This window comes from Homo sapiens, chromosome 12 (assembly GCF_000001405.40).
Source record: "Homo sapiens chromosome 12, GRCh38.p14 Primary Assembly".
In the NCBI taxonomy this organism is placed as follows: Eukaryota; Metazoa; Chordata; class Mammalia; order Primates; family Hominidae; genus Homo; species Homo sapiens.
Genome location: NC_000012.12, coordinates 65959550 through 65973572, shown reverse-complemented (window position 1 = coordinate 65973572; position 14023 = coordinate 65959550). Strand labels below are relative to the sequence as shown.

At 41.4% G+C, this 14023-nt stretch overlaps 1 protein-coding gene across 1 annotated transcript in view; it reads right to left on the bottom strand.

Annotated features, from left to right (window-relative positions):
• The window catches only part of HMGA2 (high mobility group AT-hook 2), a 141832-nt gene continuing 135090 nt past the window's right edge, over positions 7282 to 14023 (bottom strand). Inside the window, exon 5 of the mRNA NM_003483.6 lies at positions 7282 to 10328. Within this exon, the coding sequence (NP_003474.1) occupies positions 10281 to 10328 (48 nt within the window). The 3' untranslated portion in view covers positions 7282 to 10280. The remainder of the gene's footprint in view (positions 10329 to 14023) is intronic.

Genomic DNA, 14023 nt, shown 5'->3' with positions numbered 1-14023 from the left:
GATACCTGATGTTTCATTTACTTTCTTCACTAGCTCTACTTTCTTTACTAGTCTCTGGCTAGGATTTTTAATTGTTATCACTGTTATTATTATTATTACTATATATGGTTAATTATGAATGACTTTGTATTATCTTAAATTTAAGAAAAGACATATCCTGCATATATGTAACTTAAAGTAATATTATACATATATATGCATATATATGGATATATGCATATATACACATCTACATGTATATATGTGTGTGTATGTATATGTGTGTGTATATATATATATATACACACACACACACACACACACATACTGAAATAAACAAGCTGTCTCATGAAACTCCACTGCTGCCTATGGGGTTGCTATTTTGTTATTTGTGGGTTTCAAACTTCAGTAGGTTCTGTTATCAGCCCAGGAGTTTCCTCATTTCTCTAACTTGGAAATATACTAGGAAGCTGTGCACACGTGAGATATGGCAGACCCTGAAAGGTCCCTCGATTCAGTACTCTTTCCTCTACAGGCTCTTAATCTAAATTCTCACCTCTGTGAACTAGTTCTGTTGTGTTTAAGCTTTGTGGACATCTTAGTATTACAGAATTATAGAATTTTAAATCTAGAAACAATATTAAAGGTCAGTCTATAGATAAGGAGATAAAGGTCAACCACCAAGCTCAGTCTATAGGTAAGGAGATGGGAACTCAGAGTTTGTCCAAGGTCTCAGCCTCTGAGAGTTGTAGAACCATGGCTAGAATAGGGTCTTCTGAAGGTCATTTTTATCGACTTTCACTGCGTTCCTGTATTTATTGATGCTTTAGTTTACGGCGTCATCAGGATTCTTCTGGGTGAAAGTGAGAGAAACCCAAATCTGACAAACTTCAAGAAAAGAAGGAACTTTATTAGCTCGTGTAACTGAAAACCTCCAGGCACAAAGAAATCCGGTGGCTTAAATAATGTCTTCAACACTTGGTCTGTCTCCAAATTTTGTCTCTGCTTTCCTCTGTGCTGGATTCATTGTCTGACAAGCTCATCCAATGCTGTGGCCACAGGCCTTCCTCCTCACCACCCTTCCTTCAGAAGCTACAGGCATGCAGTCTACCAGCTTCAAGTCTACCAGAGTGAGAAAGGCTGACTTTCCTACCAGTCCCAGAAAAGTGTGACATTAAACATCATGGGCTTGCCTTGGGTTGTGTGCCTCTGTTTGAACCAATCAGAGGGTCAAAATATATCCACTGGTCTGAACTAAGTCACATACCCTCCCCTGCCACCAGGGATTGGATGTCAGCTCCAGCTGAATCTTACAGGCTGAGAGTGAAGAGAGAAATCTCCTGAAGAAAAAAAAATTTCTGTTAGCAGAGGTAAAATAGATGCCGAGTAGTTCAGAGAAACAACTCTCTGTTCCCAGGGCACACTATACCTGAGACACTGTGTTAGGTGTTTGTCTATGGAGCATCTGTTGTCAATTCATTTGTTAAGCAGATACTTTTTCAGGGTGAACATGCTGGTAGAAAGTTGAACTCATACAAATGGGGCAGAGGAGGGATTACATTGGCTGTGTTGAAGAAGTGATGGGGTGGCAACAGAGAGAGGCTTGGAGTGCAGAGCTTTGCACAGGGGAGGGAAAGTAAGTTCTGAGTGAAGGTAAATAGGGTGTTGAAGGACAGGAGGGCTCTAGGAAAAGGCCAGGTGAGAGGATGCTAGAAAGAATCTGTCTGCTAAGTGCAGAGGAAACTGGGTATGGTTCATTTCATTCAAGCAGTTTTGGAAGAGCAACTGTGTTCCACCACTGTGCCAGGTGCTAGAAAGACAAAGGTGGCAAGACAGACCAGCTCTCATGCTCCACAGGGGCACATCACACAATTGGTTAATGACAACTGCAGTAATTGCTACCAGGGAGAATTCTAGGGTGTTACAAGAGAATATATTCAATATATTTTTGAATATATTCAGTATTCAACAATAGCAAAAATGGGATCAACTGAAGCATCTATCAACAGATGATTAAAGAAAATGCAGTGTATATATACAACCATAAAAAAGAATGAAATCATGTCTTTTGCACTAACATGAATGGAGCTTGAGGCCATTATTTTAAGTGAAACAACTCAGAAATAGGAAGTCAAATACCACATATTCTCACTTATAAGTGGGAGCTAAATAATGTGTACACGTGAACATAGAGTGTGGAATGATAGGCATAGGAGACTATAAAGGGTGGGGGGTGGATGATGAGAAACTACCTAATGGGTAAAATGTACATTATTCGGGTGATGGCTACACTAAAAGCTCAGACTTCACCACTATGTAACAAAATTGCACTTGTACCTCTTAAATTATACAAATGAAAAAAGAGAGAATATACACTAGGGCAGGGTCTCCAAACTTTTTGGCACTAGGAACTGGTTTCATGGAAGACAACTTTTCCACGGACCGGGATGTTGGGAGTGAGGGATGGTTTCTGGATGAAACTCTTCCATCTTAGATTCTCATAAGGAACGCACAACCTAGATCCCTTGCATGCATAGTTCATGATAGGGTTTGTGCTCCTGTGAGAATCTAATGCCACCGCTGATCTGACAGGAGGTGAAGCATGGGTGGAAGTGCTCCCTTGCCTGCCGCTCGCCTCCTGCTGTGCAGACCAGTTCTTAACAGGCCACAAACTACAAACTGGTAAAGGTTTGGTAATGGGGTCTGGCGACCCTTGTACTAGAGGACCCCACTGTATGTCAGAGTGGGGAGTAAGAAGGCAGAGAGGCTACCCTAGAGGGAGCAACATTTCAACTGAGATCTGAAGACTGAGGAGGAGGTTGGCCAGAGTGGAAGAGAGGCCGAGGAGGAAAAGAATTCCAAACAGGGGATACTAGAGCCTGGGAAAAAGTGCTCAAGTTTATTGGAAAGAGAAAGGTACATTCCAAGCCACTGTAAGGCAAGTGAGCACAAAGTAAGGAAGACTGAGAGAGCTCGGGCTCAAAAAGGAAGAAGGAGCCAGACTGTGTCAGGCCATTTGGGCCATAGGAAAGATTTTGAATTTTACTGAGACCATTAATTTTGTGATTGGATTTCTGTTGTTCAAAAGATGACACTGGCTATGGATAGAGAAAAAATTGAAGTGGGTAAGAGCACACGGAGCATAAAAATGCAGTGGTGCTTGAACTGTAGTAGTGGCAATGGTGACGAAGAGAAAGCAGACACATTCACGAGATATTTGAGGACCTTTTCTTGTAAAGATGACTTCTGTAATAGTTGGACGGGCAGTACAATATATCTTATGGATTTAGATAAGTTTCACATTTTCATTAGCTGGTTGAAATATAGGTTTTATTTTTCATGACGTGATTAAGTTGGCTGGGATTAGGCTAAACGTAATTGTTTTATGGCTAAATGTATCCCGTTGTAATAAATAATTACCATGTATCAGCCCACCTAATGCCTGATTTCAGAGACGAGGCCACAGGGAACTTCGACAAGCCTACAGATCTGAGGACTGGACTAAAGATAGAGGAATGGGACCTTAAACGTTACTGGTTTTGCAGAATGTTCTGAGTCTTACGGCCAGCTTATTTGCTGCAATTTCGAGAATCCCCTAAACACGATAGAGCTCATAGTCTCTTGATATGTATTCTTAGATTGCTAAATGGGATGAATAGCTAGGTTTAGGTGTTCCACAGTGCAACAGAATCATTCCAACTGAAGAGTACTGAAGACTTGGAGACTGCGCGTGCTGCTATTTCAGTGTTCCCTTTGAAAATATAACTTTGGAAAATCTGACTGAAGCTTGGGAAGCTAGGATTAACTATGTTAGGGATGTGTACCCAAGAGAAGGTTCATCCTGAGCAGCAATTGCATGCAATACTCTGTGGGTGTACACCAGTATAGAGGAGAGTGTGGGATCTGAGATTACATTATGGCTTTGCCATTTACTAGCTGTCTTCCCAAGTCAGTCACTTATGCTCTCTGAGCCTCAGTTAACCCATCTGTAAAATAAATAATAATAATACCTGCTATATTACTCACCATGGTGCTGAAGATGAAAAGAAAGAAAATTTGTGAAAGTGGTTTGTAAGCAAAAAACTGATGATGCAAAAAGAGTTGTCATTACTTGTCCCAGTCAAGATAGGCTAAATTGTTTCATGGTAAGAAACAGCAAACTCTCAGTGGCTCTAAATGAGGTGTCTTTATCCCCCTGCAAAGTCCACTGCCAGACCAACAATTCGCAGGGTATTTTATTTCCATTCACGTTCATGGTAAAGTCTGTGACATTCTTCAGCCTTGCTCACATTTGTCTCACCTCAGTTTCCGGCTGTTAAGTGAGAGTTGTTGGCTGTGCCATTGTAACAGGCAGCTGCTATCCTTCCTGTCTCCTGTATCTGTTTTCCCTTCTCCTGGATGTAGGCTTGGGCTTGTCTTTGGGGAGTCTCTCATTTCATATTTCACTTGGGGCTGGGCCTCCTCTCTTCCCTCCCTCTCACTTACTGAGGTCCGCCTTTATGGACTGGCTCTGGGGACAGACATGTGACCCACATCTGATCTAACCAATCACTGTTTTCTCCCCACTCCCACCCACTTCTGGCCAGAATGATTTTATAGTGATTGGCCTGAGATCCAAATTGGCCCAACAGTATTCAACTCCAAGATTTTGTTAGAAATATTGGAAAAAAATAAGGATCTTTCTTCAGAGTTTGCTAGACCAAGACGATGTGGGTCTGGGGCTTCCAGCAGCTACCCTGTCATCACTAGAAGATAACCTATCCAAGAATGAAGGCAAGATAGAGAAAAGCTGAACTATAGGTTATACACAGACTATAGTTCTGGCCACATCCTTGGGTCCCTGGATCAAGCCATACCTAAAGATCCACATCCTGGACTTCCTAGTTTATCAGCTACTACATATTTTGTTTTGTTTTGTTTTGTTTGGCTTAAGCCATTCTGCATTGGGTTTATGTCTTGTGCAACTGAAGGGATCCTGGCTAACACAGCCATTCATTTCTAGGGCAGGAGCTGCTAGCCTGCACTAGACTAAACTATCTGTATTTTAATATCAACTTTTTCTTTGTTTCATTGCATCCCTTGGAGCATTGCCACTTAAATGGCAGCTCCTGTTCCTTAGGTTCCTCTAAAACCTGGCCAATGTGCCCAGCGGAACAGCAGACATCAGTTAGAGATCTGACTTAGGAGGACATTGACGCTTTTGAGATCTCCAGGATTTGGGGAGAACATGGCAGTGTGTTAAAGGGCTCCTCTTTTCTCCAACCTCTCTATATTCTCAGCAGCAGCACACTACTAGAGCTAGATCTGTGTCTACCATTTTCCTCACATAGCAAGTTTCTTTCAAGGTGGATACCCCACAGTCTGGGTTCTGGCAGTGCAGCATTCTCAAATGTTGCTATTTCACATCCTCAAGAATGTATGCTTAAACTAGGACTAAGGAAGCCACAGGACAAGCAATTTCCAAGAGTGAGAAAATAGGTAATTGAATAGAAGAAAGGGAGATGGGACTAACAGGTCACAAGGGGTCAACCTTAGGGTGGGTGGCAGTACAGGGGAAGAATTTAGGGCCCTGGGAAGGCTGAGATGGGCTTACTCATGGGGTGGAGGCAGATCATCAAGGTGTTGAGTTAGGCTCAAAGGCAAAAACAAGAACCTAACTATCGCAAACTAGGTACAAAGTGGAGTATTGCTCACTGACATGAGGCATTTTCCCATGGGCCGCAACTGGGTCTTGGTATGAGAGTGGAACCAAGGCATGACTGGCTTAGCTTGGGTGGAGTCCCAAATACAGAGGCTGAGGATGGAGGAGAGAGGGTCATATCTGCAGCCATTTCCCTCCTACTTCAGAAGAAAAATTGCCAAGTTTTACAGACGGCTGAACTCAGACCAGGGGTGTAGACCCCTGTTGTTGCCTTTTGACTCCCCCCTCCGGTTGTTGTCTATCTGAATTATGTATTTCAAAAAAATTTTGATTCTTTTCAACTTTTCGTCCACTTTTAGGCCAGAATTCCTAGATCTGAAGAGTACTTGCTCAAGAATGACCTTACCTAACTCTAGAAATTAGTCTTGCTCAATAAAAAGTCATTTCACAGAAATAAAACTAACTTGAAAAGAAGAGCATCAAATCTGCCGTCTTCTCTCTGCCCTTGGGCTTTTTATTTTTAATTTGAGAAACAGAGTTTTGCTGTGTTGCTCAGACTGAAGTGCAGTGGCTATTCAGAGGTGTGATCACAGTGTACTGCAGCCTCCAACTCCTGGACTCAAGTGACCCTCCTGCTTTAGCCTCCTGAGTAGCTGAAACTATAGGAGTGCGCCACTGTGCTGGTCTTGGGCTTCTTATGTTTCACTTCTCTGAAGTTTTGTTACAGTTGGAGTTTGCCTCATATGCCTCCTAGCTGGATGGTATTCATTCCTAAATTCTATTTTTATTTCTGCCTAGACTCCTAAACCATTTACTATTCCTGAATTCACCAGAGAGTTGAGCATCCTCAGCCCATTAAAAGATACATACCCTCCCCACGCTCCCATGTGAAATGCTACATTGGTTGAAACTCATTCTCCCTCTCTGATGGTGACCATAAAGGCTTTTTGTGAGAGGGCCTGTGATTTGTCCTTGGTATTGGCAGGGGCTTCAGGATGCAACCACTTTTCAGGACAACTCAGTAAGGTACTCACAGAATATTGGCTGTGAGAATAAGTGAATGAATTTAGGAATGAAATAATACGTTTAACAAATTTCCTGACAGTAGATGTCTTAAAATTGGCAAGCTTTTCCTAGAAACAAATTTCTCCTTCTAAGAAGCTAAATGAAGAAAATTTGAGTAACAACGGTGATAGTAAAAACCGAAAGTTTTAGCTTTTTAAAAATCCTAGATTTATTCATAATTAGCAACTTAAGTGTCAAGTTGACCTTGAACTTGGTAGAATCATTCTGACTCTGCTAGTAGTTTTTAGAGTTAAAAGGCTCCTATCTAGGAGACTCTTCGTGGCTTTCATTTCTTATTCATCAATCTTCCGGATCTCTTTCCAATGTTACTTCAAAGACGACTAGTGCATTAGTTACTTCCCTTACAAACTTTGTAGGTGCTAGCCTGAAGTAAAAATTCTGTAGTTTGGAGCTACAGCTTGTTCTTCATGTTTCTTCTAAGATTGTCTCTGTAGAATTAAATGTCAAAATCTGAAAGGCGAGCTCAGGGCAGTTGATTGAAGGAGTATGATATGTAAAACACACTTTATGTACATGTGTGCCAAGATGTGTGCAAGGGGTGCAACAAAATGACTTGTGAGTGTCTCCCTCCTTGATCTGTTTTGACCAAACTTTATTACTCATTTAATGGAACTGTAACAAAGAGCAGGAATCAAAACACATGGGGATCACAGAGGCTGTTATGTTTATTGTGCAGAACAGACAGTGATAATACACTAGAGAAATATTTTCAACAAGCAAGCGATTCAAAGTACAATCATAGACAGCAATTCTACATAAAGAACAAAGAATAAAGTTAGAAGACACTCAAAGGAACAGGGAGAAAGTCAACTGCAGTTAAACGTCTTGATACTTTTCTCCTGCAAACATACCTAACTTGCAGAAATGGTAGAAAAGTTAAATGTCCAGTCTTATGTAGCTGCGACCAACAACAGCAAAGAACAGTCCTATAAAATTTATCTCCCACAAAAATAAACTATATATATAAAAATTTTATGATGTTCTTACTGTTCCATTGGCCACAAGCTTTTTTTTTCAGTATGAAAAATGAGGTATACTGGGACTTAAGAGGTAGTAGTGTGTTTTGATTGTACAACATACAGGAAATAAAAGTGTAACTTTACCAGAGATGGAAATCACTCGGTGCACCATGTTTGGCCAACATGAGCAATTGCTTCCATTTTATGAGCTGGCCAATGAGGTTTCTAAAAGGCCCATCCAAAGATATGGAATGCGACTTTTATTTTTATGAGCCACTGTTTATTTGCTTATTTAACGCACAGTTAACAGTAATGTTGAGTTTTAATTCTCTCCATAGCTCCTTTGGTGATTCACAACAGTGAGCGATCTGCCAGTCTCAGAGAGGTATGTGGCCTTTGAAACTACCTCCCTGAAGCAGCTGGAAGAGAGATGGTTTTGAGTTTCATTTGGCTTCAGTACTAAAAGCCATACTGACAAAAGCCGTCATGAGAAACTACCTCCTGGCCCAGTTGATAATACCATGTTAAAAAGTCAGCACACTCACTAGGAGAGAAAGGCATAAAAACTCTACATAAGAAGCGTTTAAAATAAATCTGGTTGAGACATATTACAAAAATCACATTTGTGTAAAATACATGAAAATATTTGTCAAGCATTTTCTTATATTCAACTAATCTTAAAAACACATATTTTTGATTGCATTATGCAAAAGCAGGGCTTGTTGCATCTCACCTACAAAGCTTCAAGTTTCTTTGAAGGTTGGCTTTTATTTTATTTATTATTTACTTATTTTGCAAAAGTATGTAAAAACGTGTTCCTTTCTATCAAATGTCTTTTACAAAAATAGTTTTGACTAGGGTTAGCTGCAGTTTGAACTATTTCAAACATTGAAAAAACAAATGAATGCTGCAAGTAACAAGTTCATTCCTTTTGAAGTCTGGAGGTAGGTCTTTGCAAGTCAATTAGTCCATCTCCTTAAAGAATTCATTTGAGGTACAGACTTGGAGGGTAATATTTAAATATTACAGTCAAATCTTGTGTGATGTGTAGTGTGATTGAGGAAAATTATCCTTAAGAACCTAGGAGCGACTTGGTTAAAAAATTTTCAAGTTAATGTAGAAATCTAGCAGAGAAGCTGAAACAAGTATTTTAAAAATTTTTAATTAAAAAAACATAGAAAAATACATAGTCATGCTGAAACACAGTAAGGAGATTGCTTCTTTAACTGTAATTAAGTGTACAAAAAGAACTGCAGATGATTAGAATCACCTACCCAGTAAGTTTTTTTCTTGCATTGCTTGTGTATAGCAGCATGTAATAAGTACTAGACTGTAAATTCGTTGTAACATTCAGAGGTAGTATTGAGTAGTGGGGATATATTGCATCTCTGGCTAAAAGTGCAGTTTGAATGAAGAGATGGTGAACTCAAGCCGAAGAAAAGCACCTTGGTCAACCATCTTATGTCAAAACGTATTACTTGAAGTAACACATATGCTTAATTTGAGGTAAGTGGTATTCAGGTCTTTCATGGAAACTGATACACAATGAAAAGAGAGAGGGAGAGGAAGAGAGAGAGAGAAAGACACAGAGAGAGATTGCCCCCCCCTTTTTTTTTTTTGCTTTTTAAATTGATGTATAACTATAGCAAAAGAAATTTAGATTTCGCTCCTCCCACCTCATAATTAGGTGAGTTCATCATGCATTATTCTGTTGTACCTTTTCATTAAATTACAAAGAGGATAATTTTACTTGTCTAGTTTCCTTAAATGCTCTGAGGCTGACAAGTGTTATTTATTGCTAAATGGCATTTTGGCTCTGTAGGAAGTAGATTTCCTGAAAATGAAGTGTTGTCCTGAAAACAAGTGCTGTGAGTAAATTTATTACTCCTGCTGATATGTGTGATATCCATAAATAGAAGAGTTGGCAATATTTGTTTGCTTACTTCCCTTTTTGAAAAATGAACATAACCTTTTCTAGTTTGTTAGCTGAATGAAAGGATACATCAGCATTTCGTCTCATTTAGAAATAAAAAGTTAAAAATCATCAAGTAAGTGTCTACAAGATTATACGAAAAAGAGAAAGTAGTATCTAGTCCTTATCTTTGGTGTTCTAAACAGAGGATTCACTACAGGGAGTGGGTTGGGGTGGTATTTGAGGTGTACACAGTGTTACACACCGCGTTCTTCCTATATGAATGCCCGACGTCACAAGTGTGACACGTTTCTTGTTTGCATGCAGTGCAGTGATTGACTAAACCCAATTCGGTTTTTCTCACCCGCCCACTCTTGCTTATCAGATCAACAAACTATTAGTAGGTTAAGAAAAAAGAAAACAGTAATTAAAAGTTGCATTGTTAAGCTGTGTCCCCTGTGTTTACAGCAGTTTTTCACTAAACCTGGGACTGTGAAGGGATTACAAAGAAGGTGATTAATATAGTCCTTTTTAAGGTTATGTGATTTCTCCCCACCCCACCCCCCCCTCCCCCACCCCACCCCACCCCACCCCAGATGAAAGTGGAAAGACCATGGCAATACAGAATAAGTGGTCACTGCAGTGTCTTCTCCCTTCAAAAGATCCAACTGCTGCTGAGGTAGAAATCGAACGTTGGCGCCCCCTAGTCCTCTTCGGCAGACTCTTGTGAGGATGTCTCTTCAGTTTCCTCCTGGAACACACAAAGGGCACAGCCATGACGCTCAATCGTTATACTGTGTGGGCTGCTCTTGCCAACAGTGCAGAGGTAACCTGTTTCCACAGCACATTATGCTTGCCTCAAAAGAGGATGACGATGACTGGCGAGCCCTCATTCCCAGGGCTTCTTAAACCGTAATTGAGGAATCAAGGTGTTGTTTTTTCCCAGAGCGGTCATTAGCCACTGTTGACTTAAGGCTTGACATCATGGCGGCTGGTCAGCAAATTCAATTGTTTGCTGTCCAGAGAATGTCAGGGCAATGCACGCTTACTCACCAATTAGAAAAAAAGTAGGAATGGATAAATTTTTCCCGACAGCATGCCATTCATCAGTTTTAAAAACCGGCACACAAGAAAAATAGAGTTAGGGGGATCCTTTCTTAAGGTATAAATGAACCCACCCTCCAGATACTGGTAATAATAGCTGGTATTTTTAGAGTGCTTACCAGATGCTTAGGCACCTTCTGTTAATATTCCTGTTTTACATCTGAGAAAACCAAGGCACAGACAAGTAATGTGCCCAAAATTACAGGGTGTGTGGGACCAGGATTTGGGTCGGGTTGGTACTGGTGCCAACACCTGTGTGTGACCCCTACACCACTGTGCAGAGGCAGTGTGAGAGCAGGGGCAGAGCTGACAACGAGCCTTCCCAAATCCATTTCCTCCCCCTTGTATTTATTAAAGCACATTTTGAGACAGTGACCCAAGTTCGGCGTTAACTGCTCAATCTCAATACTAATCCGCATCGACCAAACATTTGATGGTGGGCTAGCCAAGCAGAGAAAATCTAATATATATGTTTTTGCAAGGCCCCCTCTTCATATAAATCTAACTCCTCCTTCCCTTTTCCTTTTTCTGATTCCTTATGGCTCTGGAATTTGTTGGGGTTTCTGCGAGCCGGCTTGAGCCGCAAAGTTCTCTTTCCTTTTGCTTATTTAACAAATGTGCAGTACCTTTCAGGACATGGGTGGTAAAGCGGAGACAATAAACATTTCCGATAAAAGCGTCGTTAGTGAGAGGATGATTTTTATCAAATGCTGCACATTGTCTCATAAGACGGCATGTGAAAAAGATCTGGGGGAAGAGGTAAACATTTACTCCTGCAGCAGACCGAGCCCCTTTAAGAATGGCCAGCTTAAAACAGCTTATAACAGTCTTCATACTTTAATAGATTTGATTTTCCACATGGCTTCATTTTGTCTGGGTGGCTAACCGACACAATTTATACCTCTCTTCCTTTCCCAGGTCACTACAGTACACCATTCAGTAAAGCATGCCTTAAAGCTTGTCTGCATTATATGACCAAACTTCCATTCATTAGTGTTTGAAACACTTCAGCTGTGAAGGGGCTCCTAAATGCTACCATGTGTGATGCTTTTGCGTAAAAGCAGCAAATGGGAGAAAAAAACCCCACAAGAATGGGCACTCACACATTCACATGAATGCACACACACACACATACACACACACACACACACACTCTATCCTGGGCTTTAATCACAGGCCACTGCATACTTCAAACCCTTTGCAAAAGGTTTCAAATATTCTCTTTCCCCCCGAAGACTGAGCGAGCTGTAAATCCTGGGAATAAACACACATACAAATGAATGGATTACAGCTTGAAAAATATAACCACGGCAGCATCAAGTCATGAGATTTCACACCGGTTTTGTTTAGTCTGCTTTGGGTTTTGTGGGAAAAGTGGAACGTATGAGGCTACCTCCCCTTTAACTCCCAACCCCCAAACTGTGGGCTTCACATATTTAAGCAGCAGGTTTATACCTCTTGACTAGGCAACAGGCCATGACCCTGAGATTCTCTGTGGAGCCCTGGCCACAAAGGAGGATGTAGCATGATCAAAGCCATGGGCAGACGAAAGAGAGACGAGCCAAAGATCAGCTGCCCTGTGACCCTGTCCTTTCACTTAATATTTAAATTCCAGAAAGTCACTAAGCTGTTAGGCAGATACACACCTCGTTTGTCCCCAGATGATTCACTTCTCATTCTGACATGAGGTGTGGACTTAGGTGACTACTCTGAAACAGACCACGGCATAAAAGCCAGCAAGTATATTTTATTCCTTCTTACGGTTAAAAAATTGATAGAACTCAGTCAAGCTGGCAAACCTCCTGGATTGTGCTGTAATTATTCAATTTCTAACTGTTTGATTTTTCTATACTATCCGGAAACCAAGGTACTTTCAAATCCGGAAGGAAACAGAATTTTCAGGCCATGAACTTAACAAAGACCTTGTACTAGATGGAATGTGATCAGCTTTTCAAAACATTCCCAGAAACTTTGCTTGATGTGAGCTGCTGAAACTCCTGAATTCCAACCCTTTAGACACAATTCAGATGAAAATGGTGGTAGGTCATATTGTTTCCTTAACTGTCCTTAAGACAATGTGGATAAGACAATGTGGATAGTTGTTTTATTAATGTATCTTTCTGCTGACCTTAGAATTCTACTAGTAACTATCAGTTAGTACTGGGAACATGACTAGGATGTCAGAGGGTGGAAGTCTCACTTCATTAAAGGTTTGGAGGCAATGTGGCTCTCACATGCTCAGAATGATGGTTTTCTCAAATGTCTAGTTAGTGGAGAGCTCTCTCTTCTTGGCATAGCCCTGGCTGGCCACCCTTCAAAGGAAGGAATGGTTCCCAAAGGGTTGATGTGGTGGGGCAGGTGGCTTTTCCCACCTCTGCAAACCTCAGCTCTCACCTTCCCAGTGACTTGGTCTTTGGTTACATGTGCGGATTCTGTACGACAAGTGTGCATTCAATGAAGAGAAGAAAAATCCTCCCTGTCAGGAATGAGGTTGGAAAACCCATTCTCAGCTCTCCTAAGTGTCATGGTTCGGCCAGACTTAACACAGGGTGCTTCTGTGGTGCAAAGAGGGAACAGAAACAGGTGACATGGAGAATAAGCAGCTGGCTCCGACATCCCCAAAGAGTCCTGTTTCTGTAACTGAGGAGTTGGTAGGGACCCCTGAGCTTCGATCATCTTTAATAACTTAAAAGACATGGATGGGGCCAGGTATGGTGGCTTACGCCTGTAATCCCAGCACTTTGGGAGGCCTAGGCAGGCGGATCACGAGGTCAGGAGATCGAGACCATCCTGGCTAACACGGTGAAACCCCATCTCTACTAAAAATACAAAAAATTAGCCAGGCGTGGTGGCGGGCACCTGAAGTCCCAGCTACTTGGGAGGCTGCGGCAGGAGAATGCTGTGAACCCAGGAAGCAGAGCTTGCAGTGAGCCGAGATGGTGCCACTGCACTCCAGCCTGGGCGACAGAGCAAGACTCCGTCTCAAATAAAAAGAAAAAAAAAGAAAAAAAGACATGGCCGTGTGTTATAGACAATAGCTTTTACCTTGACATGTTTTTAAAAAATTGCTTCTCATTTGTCACCTAATGGTCAAAGGACCTTTGAGCTTGTGTAGCTCCCAAGAGGAGCCTTGAAGTAATAAGGAGATGAAAACTGTAGCCAAGAGTTGCACACATCTCATTAGGGTCTAGTGGCAGGGTGGGAAGGCTAAACAGCCACTCTTTGGTCAAGAAGGCTTACCTGTTGGAATGGGGCTTCAGGAATGTTCAGATGAAAGGACTTTTCAAAGTGCAAGTGCACGGTGACATTTTTATGAGCACCAGCCACTAAGGCCTCTAAACA